This window comes from Homo sapiens, chromosome 14 (assembly GCF_000001405.40).
Source record: "Homo sapiens chromosome 14, GRCh38.p14 Primary Assembly".
Lineage (NCBI taxonomy): Eukaryota > Metazoa > Chordata > Mammalia > Primates > Hominidae > Homo > Homo sapiens.
The window spans coordinates 102,696,668-102,718,922 of NC_000014.9; the positions used below are offsets into that span (position 1 = coordinate 102,696,668).

General features: G+C 40.5%; 1 protein-coding gene across 2 annotated transcripts in view, besides 2 other annotated features; it reads left to right on the forward strand.

Annotated features, from left to right (window-relative positions):
* The window catches only part of RCOR1 (REST corepressor 1), a 137,913-nt gene that overhangs the window by 104,019 nt on the left and 11,639 nt on the right, over positions 1-22,255 (forward strand). For both annotated transcript variants that reach the window (NM_015156.4, XM_047431148.1), the window contains exons 4-8: positions 4,611-4,663; positions 10,684-10,845; positions 11,798-11,916; positions 14,268-14,346; positions 17,756-17,950. In NM_015156.4, coding sequence (NP_055971.2) covers positions 4,611-4,663; positions 10,684-10,845; positions 11,798-11,916; positions 14,268-14,346; positions 17,756-17,950 — 608 coding nt within the window. The remainder of the gene's footprint in view (positions 1-4,610; positions 4,664-10,683; positions 10,846-11,797; positions 11,917-14,267; positions 14,347-17,755; positions 17,951-22,255) is intronic.
* Positions 268-417: an enhancer, noted in NCBI's record as "active region_9077". NCBI's record gives its function as "activates an Ori minimal core promoter by ATAC-STARR-seq in GM12878 lymphoblastoid cells {active_cell/tissue: GM12878}" and the evidence as "EXISTENCE:reporter gene assay evidence [ECO:0000049][PMID:35858748]".
* Positions 11,034-12,233: an enhancer, noted in NCBI's record as "MED14-independent group 3 enhancer chr14:103174038-103175237 (GRCh37/hg19 assembly coordinates)". NCBI's record gives its function as "activates an origin of replication core promoter dependent on BRD2, BRD4, P300/CBP and CDK7 cofactors, and independent of MED14, by STARR-seq in HCT116 cells {active_cell/tissue: HCT116}" and the evidence as "EXISTENCE:reporter gene assay evidence [ECO:0000049][PMID:35650434]".

A 22,255-nucleotide genomic window follows, 5' to 3' on the forward strand; every position in this document is an offset into this window, starting at 1 on the left:
TTGTTGTTGCCAGAGTTGGAAAAGTCCCCACGGATCCCTCTTTTCTTTAAGAGCAGTTTTTTGTAGGTAGCTTGTATTTCTCCTGCTCCTCTTCCTTCCTGTTTCATCTTTTATTCACTGACTTTTAAGCATCTGCTTATCTTTTTTTTTTTTTTTTTTTTTTTATAAGGGTAGCTGGGAACACATTTTATTTTCTTGGGTTGAAAGCTTTTTTTTTTTGCTTCAGTTAAGGAAACCACGTGGGAGGTTTTGAAAAGTGCACTTTTCATTTTCATTGCTGTCCTACCAGCAGCTACTGGTATAACTCTGTAAAGGAACAGGGTAGGTGGTGGGAAGGGAATAGCATCAGGGATTCTGAAAAGTATGGCAGCTATGCATGTCCCTTGATTAAAGAAAACAAAAGCTGAGGATTATGTAGAGCAGGAATACAGTAAGAGACAAGGTCTGTCAACAGCATTGCTTGTGCAGATGGCTATATTCTGAGTAAACTCTAGTCCAGAACATTCTGTGAGGAGAGGAGGAGGAGTACCTACTGTGGTGTCATTTTCCCAGTTAGGTGATAACCTGGCTTTATTGGTGAGAACTAATTCTTGGGAAGGTCAGGGCGTTGCTAAAGATAACATAGTCATACAGTGCTGACTGTGTGCCATGCACTGCTAGACAAACTCATTTTATTTTGAGACAGAGCCAGAATTTGACCCGGGTCTTTCTTACCCTGTACATAACCTGTGCTGCCTTTTATCTTGTGGGACAGGAAACCTCATATGTTGACATTGTACATAATACAGCACCCCAGGCATTCATTCAGCAAATGTCTGTCTGATTTTTGTTGGACATTGGGAACAATGAAAAGAATGAAAAAGTGTATATTTGCTAGTAGGTATTAGATGGTAATTCCTTTTACAGGTTAGAGGGCTCCTGGTACATTAACTTACTTCATCACAACCTTCCGAGCACCTAGTAGACACACCATGTGTCTTCATTTAAGTAGTTACTACAGTAGAGTGCTTTCTTCCTTTACTTTAGATTTGAGTCATCAGGGTGATCTTCCAAGAATTTTTTTTTTTTTTTTGGACAGGGTCTCGCTCTGTTGCCCAGGTTGGAATGCAGTGGCACGATCTTGGCTCACTGCAACCTCTGCCTCCAGGATTCAAGCGATTGTCCTGCCTCAGCCTTCCAAGTAGCTGGGATTACAGACACGCACCACCGTGCCCAGCTGATTTTTGTATTTTTAGTAGAGATGGGGTTTCACCATGTTGGCCGGGCTGGTCTCGAACTCCTGACCTCAAGTGATCCTCTTGCCTCAGCCTCCCAAAGTGCTGGGATTACTGGCATGAGCCACCGCACCCGGCCATCCAAGAAAATCCAAAAGTTACATGACTTTAAAGGTTACCTTAGTAAGAATACCTTATTGTTTACAATATGGCAGATGTCCTATATAACCTCAGCTGCAGCATTCGGGATCTACTGTTACTGTCTTGTTGTTCCTGTCACCAGCTGATTCTTAAGATATAAAGCAAAAGAGGAGTTGAAAATGGAGTAGCATTCAACAAATGCTTGTGTGTGTCTTAAAATTTGTAGCTAAATCTGGTTGCAGACAGTGGGCACAGGCATTACAGGCCTTGTTACTGATGTAGCAGGAGGGACTCTGAGCAGATAACATATGCCCAAGAACCACAGGCAGGACTAGCCCCTGTGCTGGGCCACTCCAGGGACTCCTGCATCACTTTTTCAGCCTGTGCATGTGTTTGCTCAAAGATCGTGCTACTGGTGATCATACATACATTCCTTACTCAGTTAAGGTAGATAATAGTGTGCTCTGAGACTTGAGATTTACAGCAGAAGCTTAAGGTTCATTTGTTGTTCATTCACCAAGTATTTATTAAAGGAAGGAACCCTTCAAGCCAGTTTTAAACAAGCAGACCTTCTCCAGAGTTGACCCTCAATTTACCGCAGATTGTTTTCGCCTTCTGTCCTTACATATTCCTGAGTGCATCTCATGACCTGGTTTTTAATCAGCTGGCCTGCTGTCTGTTTCTAGGTCTGGTATGCTGCCATTTGCATCTCATCTCCTCCAGTATGAACCCCCATATTACCTGTGTCTCTCTGCAGGGTTCTGGCCAGGTATACAGAACCACCTGTTCGAGCAGCCTCATCTGACATTTTTTAGAATCTGAGAGCACTTTTATTTGGCATAATCTAATGTATTGTGAAGGAAAAAGCAAGGGACACACTTTGGAGTAATTCCCTGCCCTGCCTTTTTTTTTTTGAGATGAAGTCTTGCTCTGTCACCAAGGCTGGAGTTCAGTGGCACGATCTTGGCTCACTGCAACCTCAGCCTCCCAAGTAGCTGGAACTACAGGCATGCGCCACCACGCCCAGCTAATTTTTGTATTTTTAGTAGAGATGGGGTTTCACCATGTTGGCCAGGATGATGTTGATCTCTTGACTTCGTGATCCACCTGCTTTAGCCTCCGGAAATGCTGGGATTACAGGCGTGAGCCACCGCGCCTGGCCTCTGCCCTGCTTTTTAAAATCACCAGTTATACTTTTGTGACAAGCTATGGTCATTTCATTTGTCATTTGCTGACCTTCAAGTAAATTGAAATTTTACTGTAATCTGAGTGAAGTAACCAGTTTGTAACTATTTTAAATATTAAATCGGAAATTAGTGGCTTAGTATTAGAATTAATATTGAGCTGCAGTATATAATTAGTTATTGTTTGAATTAGGTTGACTTTTTCTTTTGTCAATGGAATATTTTTCCCCAATTTTTAGAATACATGCTTCTATAAGAGTTGGAATTCTTTTTCAAAATTGATTTCTGTTTCCTAAATTGGTTGACAGTTCTCCCAGAGCTGGGAGCATGCTTTTGGTATAATCGCATGGCAAACTAAGTTGTAGAAGCTCAGACTTTTATTAGGACTCCTCTGTTTACTCTTTGTGTCATAGTGGGAAAGTGGATCACTCTGAGCCTGTTTTCTCTAAGTTTGGCCATTGTACCTAGAGAGTAAGATTTAGGAGCCAAGAGGGAATAGGGGCTAGTCAGGATTTTACTGCCTACTTCATACAGTTCTATGCTCCTTGATTTTTTTTTTTTTTAGCTTGTGTTGTTGTTATTTTTTTAATTCATAAAGGAAAATCATGCATGAACATATGGCAGTGCTATTGACTAGTGCATTATTTTTTCTTGTACACTTGGGAAGAAAGACTAGAATATCCTCAGGGAGGAAATTGATTCATCTTTGGGGGTGGCAGCTTCTCCTAGAGGTTGAGTCAATTCATTTTCCTTGGTATTTTCCATGGTTCTTGAAAGCTAGCCACCTTATATTGGAGTAGTACATATTTGAAAGCAAATACCAAGCACTGGGTCACGTAATCTATCTCTTAAGAATTTTTTAAAACATAAAGAATAGTTTGTTCATTATTCAACCTGAGCTGAAACTAAAAATGACGCCCAATTTCATATTTCTTTTTACTGCTAGACATGTTGTTTAAAGTAGTACTTGTTTGTTGTAGAAAGTTTTAAGTAGAACTAAAGATTTTGTCTTCCTTTTCCCTTTTTCTTTTTTTGAGACAGAGTCTTGCTCTGTCACCAGGCTGGAGTGCAGTGGTGCAATCTTGGTTCACTGCAACCTCTGCCTCCCGGGTTCAAGCGATTCTCCTGCCTCAGCCTCCCAAGTAGCTGGGATTACAGGCATGTGCCACCACACCTGGCTAATTTTTGTATTTTTAGTAGAGATGGGGTTTCGCCATGTTGGTCAGGTTGCTCTCGAACTCCTGACCTCAAAGTGATTCGCCTGCCCTAGCCTCCCAAAATGCTGGGATTACAGGCATGAGCTGCAGCATCCAGCCCTGACTAATTATTTTTAAAAATTATTTGTAGAGACAGGATTTCACTATGTTATCCAGGCTAATCTAGAACTCCTGGCCTCAAGGGATCCTCCCGCCTCAGCTTTCCGAAGTGTTAGGATTACAGGCATGAGCCTTTGTTTTTCTCTTTTAAAGAAGACTCATAATCTCATCACCAGGTGATACTGCTGTTAATATTTGAGAATATTCATTCAGACGTTTCTCTGCAGGATCAATAACTATTATAATGGTTCTGTTTTGTTACTGTGTGTTCTTTATTTTTAGTCTTGTACAGGACAAGTGTATTAGTCCGTTTTTATGCTGTTGGTAAAGACATACCCGAGACTGGGAAGAAAAAGAGGTTTAATGGACTTAGAGTTTCACATGGCTAGGAAGGCCTTACAATCATGGTAGAAAGCGAGGAGGAGCGAGGAGCAAGTCATATTTTACATGGATGGCGGCAGGCAAAGAGAGCTTGTGCAGGGAAACTCCCCTTTTTAAAACCATCAGATCTTGTGAGACTTACTAACAGGAGAATAGCACAGGAAAGCCCATCCTCCATGATTCAGTTACCTCCAGTTGGGTCCCTCCTACAGCACTTGGGAATTGTGGGAGATACAAATCAAAATGAGATTTGGGTGGGGACACAGCCAAACCATATCAGCAGGCCTGAAATATACACGTATATCAATTCTAGCAGACCATAGGGTGTACTCTGTCCCTCAGTTTGTTTAATGGCATCTCTTCTTGTTTTTCAGTGGATGAATACATTGCCATTGCCAAAGAAAAGCATGGGTACAACATGGAACAGGTAATATCATGGTTTTCTTTCTTTTGCTGTTAAAAAATGAGTATTTGTAACTAAATAATTATATTTTTTTCTTCTTTGTATTGAGTAGCAGTGTTTCTTCATTAGCAACTTTTTGGTAATTACTAGTAGTGTTACACAAACTCTGGTCTTCTTTTTCTTGTTCAAGATGAATATTAGAGGACCCTTTGATTTGAAAGGCATATCTGTCATCTGCAGATCTACAGCCTTTAGGACACTGATTACTTAGTGATTACTAAGGAGCTGGATGCTTGAGCATAATGCTTTCTCATTTGAATATGTGATTTGTTTGTCATTCTTCTGGTTGTATCATGATGTTTTTTGACGCATGTTTTCACATTCTTACCTAAAGTGTTTTAATATTCACCATTTTGAATCATTTTCAGTTTGAGATGGAGTCTCGCTCTGGTGACCAGGCTGGAGTGCAGTGGCGCATCTCAGCTCATTGCAACCTCTGCCTCCGGGGTTCAAGTAGTTCTCGTAATTCTCGTGCCTCGGCCTCTCAAGTAGCTGAGATTACAGGTGCACACCACCACGCCTGGCTAATTTTTGTATTTTTAGTAGAGAAGGGGCCTCCCAAAGTGTTGGGATTACAGGCGTGAGCCACTGCGCCTGGCCAAGATTTTCTTTTAAATATTGTTTGGAATGTACTAATAAGAAATCCACAAGATTTATTTTTCTGCAAAAGTGTGGTGATACCTTATTTCAGCTTTAATGATTTATTTTAAACACATCAAGTTGGATTAATGCTTTCCATGGCATTAATCTAGATCTTACAACCTGGAAGTTACTGACATTTCTTATTTTTCTGAATGATGGAAGTTACCAAGAGTTTAGATTATGTGAAATTGTACCCTTTCTTTTGGACTTGGCCTTACATTTAATTACTCTATCCTGGTCATTGAAGCTACTTTTGATTGCAAAATATACCTGTATGAATTCTTAAGGATGGTAGTCTTGATCATTTCTCCTTTAAAAATGATCATTAGCATGAAAATTTCCTATATTATAATTCCAGCATAAAAATTACCATTAGCAAAGTATTGCTGGATCTCATCTTACCTCTTTTGTTGCTTATTCTATTTCTACTTTTTTTCTTTCTAAGCTGAGAAGACCTTTATATATCATATATATAACATATAAATATATATAATTTTTAAAATAAAAGAATAACAGCAATTGTTCTTTCATAAATTACTTTTTTCATTTATATATTGAGGCAGTAAAGTGTGATACTTGAAGAGCACAGATCCTAGAACTATGCTGGTTCTGTGACCAGAGGCAGGGAAAGGCAGTGCCTCAGAGAAGACCTTCAGTTTATACTCAGGCTGATCCTCACAATGGAGGCAAGCCTACAACCAAAAGAAAACAAAACTGTAGTAAAAACATAGCAAACCCTGAGGAAGAGTGTGATTATGAGTTTACTACATTATTAGATTCAGATGTCCAGGTTTTAACAGAAAAATCACAGAGCATACAAAGAAATGGTAAAGTATGCCCATTCAGTAGAAAAAAATTAATCAACAGAAACTGTCCCTGGGAAAAGACCTTAGTGGCAGATCTACTAGGCAAAGATTTTAAAACAACTATCTTAAAGATGTTTTTAAAGAACTAATGGAAGATACAGAAAAAATCAAGAAAATGATGTATGAACAAATGGAAATAACAGTAAGGAAATGGAAAACCTGAAAGGAAACCAAAATGAAATTCTAGACCCTAAACACTTGAAATGAAAAATTCACTAGACGTGCTCAAAGGCAGATTGGAAGAGTCTCAACAAAGAACATGAAGAAAGGACAGTGGAAATGATTTGAGTCTGAGCAGCAGGATGAGAAAAGATTGAAGAGTGAACAGAGCCTAAGGTACCCTAGGGACACAATCGGGTGGACTAACATATGCATGTGGAAGTTGCATAAGGAGTAAGAGAGATAGGGACAGAGAGATTACTTGAAGAAATAATGGCCAAAAATTTCGCAAATTTGTTGAAAGATGTGAATATAAACAAACATCCAAGAAACTCAGTGAACTCCAAGTAGAATAAACTCAAAGAGGCTCACCAGAGCACATAATGAAACTTTGAAAAGACAGAGAATCTTGATAGCAGCAAGAGAGAACTAACCTATTACATATAAGGGATCCTGAATAAGCTTATTAGGGTATTTCTTGTCAAAACCTTTGGAAGCCAGAGGCAATGGTCTGATATATTCAAAGCAGCAAGAGAAGAAAACTGTCAACTAAGAATTCTATATCTGAGAAAATTCTTTCAAAAGTAAAGGGGAGAAATGAAGATATTGTCAGTTAAAAGCTGCCGGAGAGTCTCTCTGAAGAGACCACAGTGGAGCTGAACTTGCCAACTGGTAATCCCATGGTCTATAAATTGGACAAGAACTTGAAGCCCATCAAGCCCATGAATAAAAAAAGTTCCTGGGGATGAAGAGACCATTCATAAAGCCATGGAAGCTGTGGCTGCCCAGGGCAAGGCCAAGAAGTGAAGGCCAGCAGGCTGACTGCTCTCTCAAGGAGCACTCTCCCTGCCCAACCCATTCTTCTTCACCTCCCTGCTGCACATGCCACACCGACCACATCTGCAGGCATCTTACGTTGGAGCTGCAGATGGGAACTCATGGCTCCCATTTTCATTGTAATCAGTTTTGTCTCCTGCACCCACTCCCTTCATATAATCTAGTCAGATAGCACCTCTGGTGCAGGGAGAAAGCTCCTCTTATCCAAGAGAGTTGAGAGGTAGTGACTAGGGCTTTTGCCAGGGCTTGTTTACTAAGGACCTTTGTGGGAGGAACCATGCTGTCATGACCAAAGAGGAGAAGCAAAGAGGGCCTGCTTGACCCCAGGACCCAATCCTGTACTCTTCTCTAGTCATGCCACTGTCAGGAGAGCTCTGCTCATTCCAGTGGAAGATGACAGTAACCTGCACGGTGATGTGAAAAAACAACGATTTCCTCCCTGATCCCAGGGTAGGTGGCTCTAGAAGGTTGAGAGCAATCCTGTATTAAGTTCATGTGTTGGATTTACTTTTACAAAAAATTGTATGTATAAATAATACAAAACAAAAACCCTTCTGAGATTTTTTATTTTATTTTTTTGAGATGGAGTCTCACTCTGTCACCCAGGCTGGAGGGCAATGGTGCGATCTCAGCTCACTACAACCTCCGCCTCTCGGGTTCAAACAATTCTCCTGCCTCAGCCTCCTGAGTAGCTGGGATTACAGGTGCCTGCCACCATGCCCGGCTAATTTTTGTATTTTTAGTAGAGACAGGGTTTCACCATGTTGGTCAGGCTGGTCTCGAACTCCTGACCTCGTGATCCACTCACGTCGGCCTTCCGAAGTGCTGGGATTATAGGCGTGAGCCACCGCGCCCAGCCCCCTTCTAGGATTTTTAGTGGCAGTTCAAATAGTCCCACATGTGGTCATCAGAAATAAGCCATTCCATCCTGGACAACATGGCAAAATCCTGTCTCTACAAAAAATTAAAATCAGCCAGGCATGGTGGTGTGTGCCTGTGGTCCCAGCTACTTGGGAGGATGAGATGGGAAGATTTGTTGAGCCCAGGAGGTTGAAACCAGCCTGGGCAATATGGTGACACCTCATCTCTAAAAAAAAGTTTAAAAATTAGCCAAACATGGTAGTGTGTGCCTGTAGTCTCAATTACTCTGGAGGTTGAGGTGGGAGGATCGCGTGAGCCTAGAAGGCAGAGGTTGCAGTGAGCCAAGATCATGTCATTGCACTCTAGATCACAACTCTATATCAACAACAACAACAACAACAAAAAAAAAGAGGGGGGAAAGAAGCCATTCCTCACACCAATATGGGATAAGCTCCTTGACCTCTAAGGGATAGGATTGCATCCTGCTGTGGGTTTTCGAATCTCTCCCCTACCTTGTTTTGTGGCTGTGAAATGCCTCATGATCATGTCCAAGTATGTCTTTCACTGGCTGATTTCCGAATCACGTTCTAATTGCTTGGCCCTGCCATGTGGACCCAGTATTCATTTTGAGCATAACTGTACTAAATCTTTCTTTCTAGATCAGTGTAATAAAGGTGTAATGTGCAACTTAAAATAAATAAAAGCTTGTGTCTTTTTGTTTGTTTTGTTTTGAGACAAGGTCTTGCTCTGTCATCCATGCTGGAGTGCAGTGGTGTGATCATAGCTCACTGCAGCCTCAAACCCCTGGGCTCAGTCAAGCAGTCCTCCTGCCTCAGCCCCCCAAGTAGCTGCAGTTACAGGCGCGCACCACCATGCCTGGCTAACTTGTTGTTGTTTGTTTGTTTTTCGTAGATTCATGGTCTTGCTAAGTTCCCCAGGCTGGTCTCCATGTTCTGAGCTCAAGTGATCCTCTCACCTCGGCCTCCCAGAGTGCTGGGGTTACAGGTGTGAGCCACAACACCCAGCCTCAGAAAATAGCTATAGAATATATACACAAGGAAATAGAAAGGAATTTAAATCTTTCACTATAAATAATCAACAAAACATAAAAAGGAGGCTGGATGTGGTGGCTCACACCTATAATCCCAGCACTTCAGGCAGATCACTTGAGCTCAGGAGTTGGAGACCAACCTGGGCAACATGGCAAAACCCTGTCTCTACAAAAAAAAAACTAGCTGCGCATGGTGGCACGCACCTGTAGTCCCAGCTGCTCAGGAGGCTGAGGCAGGAGAATTGATTGAGCCTGGAAGGGAGAAGGTTGCAGTGAGCCAAGATCATGACATTGCTCCTCCAGCCTGGGCAAGGAGAGTGAAACCCTGTCTCAAAAAAAAAAAAAAAAAAAAAAAAAAAACCTAAAAAAACAGTAATTCAGGAAATGAAGGACATAAAAAACTTTAAGGAATGTACAAAACAAATAGCCAAATGACAGAAGTCCCTCCTTATCAGTGATTACTTTAAATATAAATGGGTTAAACTTTCCAAAGGACAGAGATTGGCATAATGGGTAAAAATTACAGGATCCCAGTATATACAAGAGATTTACATTAGTTCCAAAAACACAATTTTAAAGTGAAAGGGTGGAAAATGGTATCCCATGCAAGTAGTAACCAAAAGAAAGCAGGAGTGATTATAATAATATCAGTCAAAATAGACTTTAAATTTAAACAGGTTGTAAGAGACAAGGACATTCACTGTTGGTGGGAATGTAAAATGGTACACCTGGTGGGGAAAACAGGATGGCAGCTCCTTAAAAAATTAAAAATAGAATTACCGTATTATCCACTAATTCTACTTCTGGCCAAAGTGGGTAGATCACTTGAGCCCAGGAGTTTAAGACCAGCCTGGGCAACATGGCAAAACCCTGTCTCTACAGAAAGTACAAGAAATTAGCCGGGTGTGGTGGCATGTGCCTGTATCCCAGCTACTTGGGAGACTGAGGTGATCAAGGAGGATTGCTTGAGCCTGGGAGGTGGAGGTTGCAGTGAGTGCCACTGCACTCCAGCCTGGGTGACAGATCCAGACCCTGTCTCAAATAATAATAATAATAATAATAATAAATTTTTTAAAATTTATTTTAGAAGAATTATTTATAGTTTCTCTGTGACCACTTCCCTGATGATACATATGTTGCCATACTTAACAAATACCACCTTCCCTTGTTGCTGTACCTAACAAGTTATCACCATCCTGAATTGTATACTTATCATTTCCAAGAAAAATATTTTTATTGTATGTGTAATTTCCAATTAAAACATATTGCATATTGTTTGAAAATTAAATAATTTATTTAAATTGCTTCACTCTTTCTTGATACTTATACCTATATTAAAAGACATTATACCTATAATAAAAATTACATCACCTGAAAAAAAAGTATGTGTATATTACCACAGTTACAAAGAATAGAAAAAGGGGCCTCTGACAGTGTCTGCCACTTAGCGCTGTAGATGAGTTAGTTTGTCTAAATATGAAGTCGTTTTTACTTTTCTTTTGCTGGTCTCATTTCCATTTTCATTGTTTTTTGTTTGATCTAAAATTTTACTGATATCATTTTTGTAGGCTCTTGGGATGCTCTTCTGGCATAAACATAATATCGAAAAGTCATTGGCTGATTTGCCCAACTTTACCCCTTTCCCAGATGAGTGGACTGTGGAAGATAAAGTCTTATTTGAGCAAGCCTTTAGTTTTCATGGGAAAACTTTTCATAGAATCCAACAAATGGTAAGTAGATGAGACCACTGAGTTCTATTTTTTTTCTCCTATCTAACTCTCTTTTGCAGCATACTTGAGATAGGGATATCATACTCAAACATAAATATTCCCATTTTTGATAAAGTTCCCCTTTAGATTCAGCTTAGTACATGCTGCTCTGTGGATGGGAGTTTTCCAGTTACAGGAGTAAAGCACTTCTAGCACTTCCCATCCTGTCGTCTGTGACTGGACCCTCCCCACCCACCCCAGTCCCTCTTGTTGGGACTCCCAAAAGATTAGACCCATACGAAGGACTTTTTTTTTTTAGACGGAGTCTCGCTCTATCACCAGGCTGGAGTGCAGTGGCATGATCTTGGCTCACTGCAACCTCCGCCTCCCGGGTTCAAGCGATTCTCCTGCCTCAGCCTCCTGAGTAGCTTGGGACTACAGGTGCGTGCCACCACGGCCGGCTAATTTTTTGTATCTTTTTTTTTTTTTTTTGAGATGGAGTCTCACTGTGTCGCCCAGGCTGGAGTGCAGTGGCGCGATCTCGGCTCACTGAAAGCTCCGCCTCCCGGGTTCACGCCATTCTCCTGTCTCAGCCTCCCGAGTAGCTGGGACTATAGGCGCCCGCTACCACGCCCGGCTAATTTTTTGTATTTTTAGTAAAGACAGGATTTCACCATGTTGGCCAGGATGGTCTCGATCTCTTGACCTCGTGATCCACCCGCCTCGGCCTCCCAAAGTGCTGGGATTACAGGCGTGAGTCACCACATCCGGCCTAATTTTTTGTATCTTTAGTAGAGACGGGGTTTCACCATATTAGCCAGGATGGTCTCCATCTCCTGACCTCGTGATCCGCCTGCCTTAGCCACCCAAAGTGCTGGGATTACAGGCGTGAGCCGCTGCGCCCGGCCTTAAACATTTGATTTTTAAAGATTACTTTTTTATTTAAATAAACCAACTCATTTTTTATGTTTAGCTTCCAGATAAATCTATAGCAAGTCTGGTGAAATTTTACTATTCTTGGAAGAAGACGAGGACTAAAACTAGTGTGATGGATCGCCATGCCCGGAAACAAAAACGGGAGCGGGAGGAGAGGTGAGCACATGGCTGGGGTGTTGTCTAACCACTTAGGGGACTATCTAAGAGCCCCAGATACACAAAGGCAAGGCAGAATGACTGGTTTTCCCTCCGCGCCTTCCTGGTGGAACCACATGTTCATGAGATGTATTAGAGCGTGTCACATTATTCAGGTATTTTTTCTCACCACTCTTTCCCTGCAGTCAGTGAACTTCCATTTTGAGTCAGTTAACTTTGACCCATTTTTTTTCCTTCCCATTTAGAAGGGGTGGCTCCTTTTAATAAAAAAGAATCTTTTATTTTGTAGTTTGAGGTTTAACGTGGTATATTTTTACAAGATTCATTTGGTGTGTTTTTATGTTTGCCATGTGGAAACAAAAATACAACTTAGAGTTGCTGCTTCTTTTTTTGACCATCTGTTTTTTGTGTGTGAATGAGAAAGAGAAACATTTTATAATCTCTTAGTAAGGATATTAGTTTTAAGGATAGCTCAGTATGGAGAATACTTCTTAACCATCACTTCCTCAGTCTTATATGTAGCATAGAGAAGTAGAAATGGCCAGGTACTCACACTCAGAAATGGGCTCTGGTCTCAGCTCTGAAGATTCCACTTACATGCCACAGGCTACACTGGGATGTTTAAGGTCTTTAATTTATTTTTTAAAATGTGTAAAATTGTACATACTCACAGGCAGGTGACTTCAACATGCGTCTTCCCCAAGCTTCTGTTTTCCTTAACTCTAAAATGAAGATGTTTGAAGTCCAGAAGGCAGCATGCAGACCTAGTGGTTTCCTTGTTAGGGTGGTGAGATATATAGGTGGGTTTTAAAAAATCCTATTTTCCACATTTCCTGTAATATTTTTATCAATTAATAATAAAAAAATAAAATGAAGGAGGATGAAATATATGGTCCCCGGTGTCCCATCTCAGGATGGAATTTTATCATTTCAAATGAAAGAGTAACATGTGAGAACACATTGAAAGTTGAGTATCACTTTTGGAGAATTCAAACCTCTTGGCCCAAGTATAAATTGAGAGTGATGTTAAGAACATCTCCAAAGCTCTTTTAATTGTAAGAGCCTATAAAATTATCGACCATGATACATCTGCATATTTTTGCCTCTGACTTATATACTAGTAGGTTTATTTATGGATGAGTACTCTTATTAACTTTTAATGAAGCTTTTTCATTTCCCTAGTTTACTGTCTATATAGTAAGTCTGTTACTATAAGCAGATGCAGTTTACTAAGCAGCAATCAAAATTAAATAATACAGAGTGGGATTGGATATCCTTGAGTGTGAAATAAGAATACCTGCCAACACTTCCATTCTTACTCCCTGGAGGCTTTTTTTTTGCATTAGTCCCGATGGGGCCAGGAAGTGCTTTGCCTCCACCTCCCATGTGCACCTCAACCACTTTTGGGATGCGGGGATGGAGGTGCTGCAGCAGCACCTGATAAATTGTTGGCTTTCTAACAGGACTTGCCTGTGAAAGTCATGGCAGGGACTGGGACAAAATTCCCTTAGCCGAAGGCTCTTTCTTGTTGTGGACACTCTTTCCTCAGCTAGAGCTTCCTGCTACCTTGGTGGAGGATGGGGAGGAGGTGGCGCGTAGTGGGCATGGTCCCGTGGGATGGATTCCAGAGGCAGTGCGAGGTGGGCAAACTGGGGCAGGCTACTTGACTTCTGTAGACTTAGTTTTCTTTTTTTACAGTTGCATTCCTACCTACATCGGGGCTTTTCTTGTTTCTTTGTTTTAAATTAAATGAAATACTACATTCAGGATATTACAAAAAGCATTTAAAGTGCTATACCAATGTAAGTTTTCTTTTTAAAATTAAACATAATTTTAAAACATCAGTTGTCCAGGACACCAGAAAAGCCTCAGACTTTGTGTGGCCTTGGGTAGAAAGACGGTACTTGGAAAAGGATTTTTTTACTGTTAGCAGGTTTATTCCCAATGCAGTGGAAATTTATTCTCCCATAATTTCTCAGTTTTGTTTAGTAATCATATCCTAGTCCTCAATAGATAATTATGAGAAAATAACATGTAAATGCATTTTCATTTTGATATTTTCAGTTTACAGATATAGAGCAATAGTGTTTTAGATCTGGATTGGGAAGTTAGGAATCTATTTTAGTAGTTTCTCATCACTTAGACTGAAAGAACTATGGAGTTGGTATTCTGTTTGAATTACAAAGATGTTTTTATCTCAGCAGCCTGAAAACATACTAATTTTATATTAAATCAGTTTATTATTTATATTTGGTAAAATTAGTACAAAATTTTCAGTTAAATCAATTTATCGTTTGTATTCGGAAAATTAGTACAAAATAATCATTCAGTAACTTGTTCTTGTCTTCCAGCGAGGATGAACTGGAAGAGGCAAATGGAAACAATCCCATTGACATTGAGGTTGATCAAAACAAGGAAAGCAAAAAGGAGGTATTTTTTCCCCCTAGTATTGTTTAGGCGAATAAATTTTATTACTAGTTTCATAAATAAAACATTCATGTTGCTTGTTCTACTTAATATATTAAGTGCTATGTGGAAAGCAGCATGATATGACTATTTTTCAACAATACTGTCTTTGCTTTATAGATTGTATAATTTTGTTTGCTAATAGATATGAATAAAGGAAGGCTTAAAGGATAGAAAATAGCACTAATGAGTAATGATGTTCCCTAGAACAGCAGTCCTCACTGACTTTCTTCGTAAGCCATTAGCTCAGTAGGTTAACAAGTGGTCTAGTGAATTCCAGGCAGCCTTAGGGTCTCCATTCACGCTATAGATGCCCCAGCGTCTGCCCATCCTAGGCACCCATGCCGTGCCTGGGGTGACTGCAGGGAGCTGGCAGGGACTCGGCACAGCCCTCCTGTTACTCAGAAGCAGCAATTTGGTCACACCAGGGGGAGCCAGGACCATCCTCTCTCACATGGTGACTGTTTCATCTTATCATTTTAAAAAATCATTATACAAGAGATTGTAGTTTCTGGATTCAGGGGGCTCGTGAACCTCTACAATTGCATGTAACTTTTACATAGGTTCATAGAGGTATTTTTCCAAAGACACAGTCTATAGTTTCAAAAAAATTTCTCAGAGAGTTCTCTCTCTCTGCTCCAAATTATAAGAATAGTTATTATTTTAAGCCTATAAAAACAGAAGGGTCTAAATTTATCTAAACTTTAAAATGACATCAGTAATATATGTTTCTTATAGACAAGGTAGGAAATACAGCTAACTGAAAGAAGAAAATTAAAGTGATTTATAATATTATCCATAATCACTGTCAACCTTTTGGTGACTTTTTCCTGAGAACTCTTTCTGTAAAATGTATATGCCTGTATATTCATAATTCTGAATCTAGTCACTTTTTAAAAATAATATAATGGAAGCTTTGTAATTTTTAGAACCTTTTAAATTTACTCTACCTTGATTTTTTTTTTCTCTTTTTTCTTTTTTGAGACAGGGTCTCCTGTGTCACCCAGGTTGGAATGCAGTGGCACCATGACTCACTGCAGCCGCCAACTCCTGGGCTCAAGCAGTCCTTCCACTATGGCCTTGCAAAGTGCTGGGATAACAGGCATGAGCCACCTCCAGCCCTTGATTTTATTTTTTTTTATTTTGTTTTTGAGACAGTCTCTCACTCTGTTGCCCAGGCTGGAGTGCAGTAGTATGACCTTGGCTCACTGCAACCTCTGCCTCCCAGATTCAAGTGATTCTCCTGCCTCAGCCTACCGAGTAGCTGGGATTATAGGCACATGCCACCACGCCCTGCTAGGTTTTTTTTTTTGTATTTTTAGTAGAGATGGGGTTTCATCATGTTGGCCAGGCTGGACCTTGAATTTTTTTTTATGTCAAATATATTTGTATACGTAGCTATATATTATTCTGTCACATGAATGTTTCATAATTGAGTTACCTTATCCTATGTGGATTTCCCAGTTGTTTATTCCTCCTGTTTTTTGCTTTTATAAACAATGCTGGATTGATTCTCACATAACTCACTATCTGTGCTCATAGATTTTTTTCATTAGAACCGATTCCTGGAAGTTGTATTGTTGAGTCAACGTGTTCTAGATACATTGTTAAGGCTTTTTTTTTTTTTTTTGGTTGTATATCACCAAATTGGAAATTGGTCGTTTTTTTCTGCATAATTTATATGAATGCCCAAATAAGATCCTGAGGGTTAGCTAAATTAGATTGTTTGGGAAATCAAATTGTAGTTGTAGTTTTTATTAAGCTTTGTGTTGATGTATTGCTATTTACTAGGTTTTTCAGTGGCACATTTTAAATGAGAGAAAACACTTGATTTCATACATTTTTATAATTCTTATTTATATAATTTCTGATTCAGAAAGAAAATGGCTAAATCATTGTTTTTTTTTTTTTTTTTTTTTTTTGGAGATGGAGTCTTGCTCTGTTGCCCAGGCTGGAGTGCAGTGGTCCGATCTCAGCTCACTGCAGCCTCTGCCTCCCAGGTTCAAGCAGTTCTCTGCTTCAGCCTCCCAAGTAGCTGGGATTACAGGGGCCCGCAACCATGCCTGGCTAATTTTTGTATTTTTACTAGAGACGGAGTTTCACCATCTTGGCCAGGCTGGTTTTGAACTCCTGACCTCAAGTGATCCACCCACCTCGGCCTCCTAAAGTGCTGAGATTACAGCCGTGAGCCACCACACCTGGCCCGTAGTTTCTTTTTTTTTTTTTTGAGACGGAGCCTCACTGTGTCGCCCAGGCTGGAGTGCAGTGGTGCAATCTCGGCTCACTGCAAGCTGCGCCTCCCAGGTTCATGCCATTCTCCTGCCTCAGCCTCCCGCCATTCTCCTGCTTCAGCCTCCCAAGTAGCTGGGGCTACAGGCGCCCGCCACCGCACCTGGCTAATTTTTTGTAGTTTTAGTAGAGATGGGGTTTCACTGTGTTAGCCAGGGTGGTCTCAATCTCCTGACTTCGTGATCCGCCCGCCTCAGCCTCCCAAAGTGCTGGGATTACAGGCATGAGCCACCATGCCCAGCCACCTGGCCCGTAGTTTTTTTAAGTATTAAAATGATACTAGAACAGACGTAGTCAGTTGGTGATCTTTATTAAACATCGTAGTCCCATACACAGCAGTTTATTGCCTACTAATATTTTTGTATTACCCACTTGTTGAAGAAATTATCACTACCATTATAGTTTTGCAGTGTCTTTAGCTCAGTCTTTTAAAATATGAAGCAGAAAGTCATATTTTCAGCTTTATCAGTGAATGCTAATGCACTAACAAGATGGAATTATGAGCAATTATAAAAACTTCTTGTTCTTAAAATGGTTACCAGTAAGTTATATTCTTTAACTTGACAAGATTTTACTGTGTTTCATTTCTGAAAGTTTTGGTTTTACAGAAATTAATAGCCGTCATGCATTTTAAAATGATAAGGTATATTATTTTAGAGTAAGTTATATAAGTTGCCGTAAAAATTGTGTTATCCAAAAATGTGTATAAAAAGCTGTAATTTCATGTAGCTAAATACAGATGTGTGTGTGGCCACAAAACTCATTAGCAGAGAATACAGATTTTTTTCTTTCTATATTACTAGAGGAAGCTGAGAATTCTTATTTTCATTGGCTTGAAACGATAGAGTAAGGAAGTATTTGTACAAGAAGGAGTGGAACACAGTTTCATTGTGTTTAGTCAAAACTCAGTAGCCCAAATTCTGTCTGTGAACTGCCTGTTAGAATTTATAGATCTCATTTGGTTCTGATAGGGCATGGTATTTGTCTTAGATTGTTTTGGTGCCATGTTAAGGAAATAAATATGTTTATTACTGATCATTTGACTTTTTTTAAGTTTCATTCATCACCTGTGTATATCATGCAGGTTCCCCCTACTGAGACAGTTCCTCAGGTCAAAAAAGAAAAACATAGCACACAAGCTAAAAATAGAGCAAAAAGGAAACCTCCAAAAGGAATGTTTCTTTCTCAAGAAGATGTGGAGGCTGTTTCTGCCAATGCCACTGCTGCTACCACGGTGCTGAGACAACTAGACATGGAATTGGTTTCAGTCAAACGACAGGTACTCATAAGCCTGGTCTTGGATGTAAAAGAATTAATTAGCACTTTAGAGGTGTTTCTGTTATTCATATATGTGAATGTTCTCTTTCCGCAAATCTCAAAGGAGCATTTTGTTTCGAAGGAATTGGACAGATCTTAAGTACCAGCCCATTGTTTTTCTTTTTAATGAACATATAAATTGAAGTGTATGGATATAGTGTGATCTGAAAGTATTTCTGAAGTATATAGCAAAGCATATGAATATCATATTTATATTATATATGTGTCTGTGTCTCCATGATTTCTCACAATATGAACATACCCTAGTAACCTGCATCTGGATCAAAAAATGGAATGTTGCCCCCAGGCCCATGCATTTTCCCTCCTGGTCACTATTCCATGGAATGTTGCATTCCCTCAGCAACTCCACCCCTCTTTTATTACCTGACTCCTCCTTGTAGGTGGCCACTATTCTGATTTTTTTTTTTTTTGAGACGGTGTCTCGCTCTGTCGCCCAGGCTGGAGTGCAGTGGCGCGATCCCGGCTCACTGCAAGCTCTGCCTCCCCAGTTCATGCCATTTTCCTGCCTCAGCCTCCCGAGTAGCTGGGACTACAGGCACCCACCACCACGCCCAGCTAATTGTTTTTTGTATGTTTAGTAGAGACGGGGTTTTACCATGTTAGCCAGGATGGTCTCGATCTCCTGATCTCATGATCCACCCGCCTCGGCCTCCCAAAGTGCTGGAATTACAGGCGTGAGCCACCGCGCCCGGCCCTGATTTTTTTTAATTTTATTTTGTTTTTGAGACAGTGTCTTGTCCTGTTGCCCAGGCTGGAGTGCAGCGGTGCGATCTTGGCTCACTGTAACCTTTGCTTCCGGGGCTCAAATGATCCTCCCATCTCAGCCTCCCAAGTAGTTGGGAGTACAGGCGCTTGTCATCACACCTGGCTAATTTTTTGTGTTTTTGGTAGAGACGGGGTTTTGCCATATTCCCCAGGCTGGTCTTGAACTCCTGAGCTCAAGTGATCTGCCCGCCTCAGCCTCCCAAAGTGTACTGAGATTACAGGTGTGAGCTACCACACTCGGCCCTGTTCTGATTTTTAAAACCATAAGTTGTTTTTGTCCATTTTTGAATTTTATATAAATGAAAGTCATGTGGTACTGTTTATTTTATGTCTGGCTTTCTTTCAACCTGAGAGCTAAACAGTTTTTCAAAGTGGTCCTGTCATTTTATGTGCGTTTTGTTTGCACATCAGCGTTTCCCAGCTGTAGCACTATCCTCATGATGGGCCGTTCTGTGCACTGTAAGATGTTGAGCAGCATCCCTGGTCTTGACCCAGTAGATGCTAGTAGCACCCTCCCCTACCAGTTGTGACAACAGAAATATCCCTAGGCATCACCAGATTACCTCACAGGGGCAAAATTGTCCCCATTTGAGAACCACTGCTCTACATCATTGCCATATTTTGGTAGTCTTAAATTTTAGCCCTTCTGATGGGTTATAATGATGCCTCATTGTACTTTTTATTTGGCAGTTCCCTGATGACTAATGAGGTTGCTCACCTTTTCATCCATTTGTTGGTCATTTGGATATCCTCTTTTGTGACATGTCTACTCAAGTCTCATCTGTTTTTTTTCTGTCAGGTTGCGTATTTTCTTATTGGTTTATAGGTGTTCTTTAGGCTCTGAGTTGTTTTCTACAACTTGTATTTTAAATGCTGTAAATATGTTTTGCATTCTGTGACTCTCAATGGTATCTTTTGATGAACAGTAATTCTTCATTTTAAGGTAGTTTAGTTTCTTAGTCTTCTGAGGTTAGTGTTTTTGAGTTCTGTTCACCTTTCTCAAGGTCATGACGATATTCTCTCATGTTAGTCTTAGAAGTGTTGTTTTACCTTTTACATTTTGATCTAGAAATGTTTTTCTGTATTTGTTGTTACATGTCGGATTAATAGTCACTGTTTTGTTTTCATATGAGTATCAATTTGGTCAAGTATTTATTGAAGAAACTGTCCTTTATCCTTTGCAACGCAGCAGGACCTTTGTTTTACATCCAGTGTCTGTATGCATATGGGTCTGGTTTGAGGTTCTCTGTTCCTTTAATCTCTTTGTCCATCCTTCACCAATACATACTGTCCTAACTTTATGTACTTTATTAATTTAGTTATCTGGTGTAATATAAGTTCTCCAAGATTGTCTTGGTTATCCCTGGCCTTTTACTTTCCATATAAAATTTAGAATTACTTTATCAATTTTCAGAAAAATAATTCTATTAGAGTTTTGATTGGGATTGTATTGCATCTATAGATAAAAATGGAGAATTAACATCTTTATTGAGTTTTCTGATCAGTGAACCTGATATACCCCTCTACTTCTATAGGTTTGTAATTTCTCTCAATGTTGTATTGTTTTCTGTGTAAGAACTTAACGCATCTTTTGTTAGTCATTCCATGATATTTGGTACTTTTTTGGTGCTCTTGTAAAGGATATTGTTTTTTAAATTACTTTTTATAATTATTTTTGCCTGCTATGTAGCTTATTATTTTAATCTGATTGCATAGTACATTTAAACTGAAAATTCAACCTAGTAGTTGGGTCCTGTCCTTTCATTCTCTCTCTGGAATTCAGTTTCCAGAAATCCATCAGCAAGTTGTTGACTGACTATTTTTGGTTTTTGCTGCTTTTGATTTATCTTGATGGTTCCCTTGGAAGGTCAAACAGTAGACCAACTGTCATCTCATAGACGCGAAGAGCAGGGCGTGCTGCTGTCTTTCTTGTGGTTTAGGGAGGCAGCCCAGACCAGGACCCAAGCACACTCTGTGTGCTCAGAGGAGCGGCTTCTTCTTGTGGCTGCTGGCACAGCTGCACTCTAATCTTAGGAGAATCACTTAATCTTTCTAGGCCTCTTTTCAAATGAGATTAATCCTGGCCTGCCTGATCTCACAGAATATGTCTGGGCTACTGTGTGAGAGAGCATTTGAAGTTCTGTTTGCACTGGAAGAACTGTCTCGGGCTGTGAGCTCTTGTTGACATTGTCATCTTCCTTTACAAGGATGCTCCTTTCTCCCTCTGCTGAGTGAGCTCCTGGTGGTTGCTGTTTAATATATTGAGAAAAGAAAAAGAGGCCTTCCTCTTGCACCGAGGTGTTATTGACTCCATAGGGTGAGAGAGAAAAGATTCTTTAGTTTTCAGAGCAGGGTCAAGAGCAAGAATTTTTAAAATTTGAAGGTCGCTCACAATTATGAAGAGGGAGGACTCAGCCTCACTCAGAGAGGAGGTGGGTGATTTCCTTTCCACAGCCTTTTAGCGCCACAGTGCAGCAGTGTGTTCATTGCCAAATGTGCTTCTAGACTCAAAATGGGCAGTCAGTCCACTTGGGCCACTTGTTCTGGAGGCCGCCATGTTTGGTATATCAAGGATATATTCTGAAAATAACAGCAAACTCGACTAACAACAGCTTAAACAATTTAGGGTTTATTTTTCTCAAATGGCAAGAAGTGCCAACATCAGTGGCTACTGGTGTTAGTTCATGTGTTCAGTCATGCTCTCAGGGACCCAGGTACTTTTCAGGTCTTCTACTGTGCCATTCTCAGCTGTTGGCTTTTCATCTTGCTTGTTGCCTCATGTTGGAAGCTACTGGAGCCATTTTGCAACCCTCACATCTGCATTCAGGGCAGTATGAAGAGGAGGTGGGGGTGGAGGTAACCTGTCTGTCCCTTTTAGCAGGACAAGCAAAAGCCTTACCGGAAGCTCCTTAGCTGAATTCTGTGTGCCCGTGCGTTGCGTACTGCTCTTCCTCCTTCCCAAGACATCATCAACCTCTACCAGCGAGAAGGGGGCTGGGCATGTCTCTTAAATTAGCCAGTGAACAGTGCTGGTTGCATCAGGTCTTTCTCTGAGTGGAGAATAAAGTGATCTGATGTTAAAAGAGGAATCACTGTGCCCACAGTAAAGTAGAAAACAGAAAGTTCTGTATGACTGAGGGTTGGGTGGGAGGGTGGTGTCTAGGTAGGGCGTCAGGACAAGTGGATGGCTTTTCTTTTTCATCTTGTTTTTTCTTTAAGTGTGATTACCTTTGCATCCTATTTCTTACCTATTTCATTGCCACTCACTTTCCAGTTAGCATGATGGTGGCAGTAATCTCTGTTTTTTTCCTGCTTAATAAACACTAGATGTTTGGCGGGGGGAAGGGGGCGTATTTTGTTTTTTGGAGACAGGATCTTGCTCTGTTGTCCATCCTGGGACTGTAGTGATACAGTCATGGATCACAGTAGCCTCAAAGGCCTGGGCTCAAGCAGTTGCCCACCTCAGCCCCCTAAGTAGGTA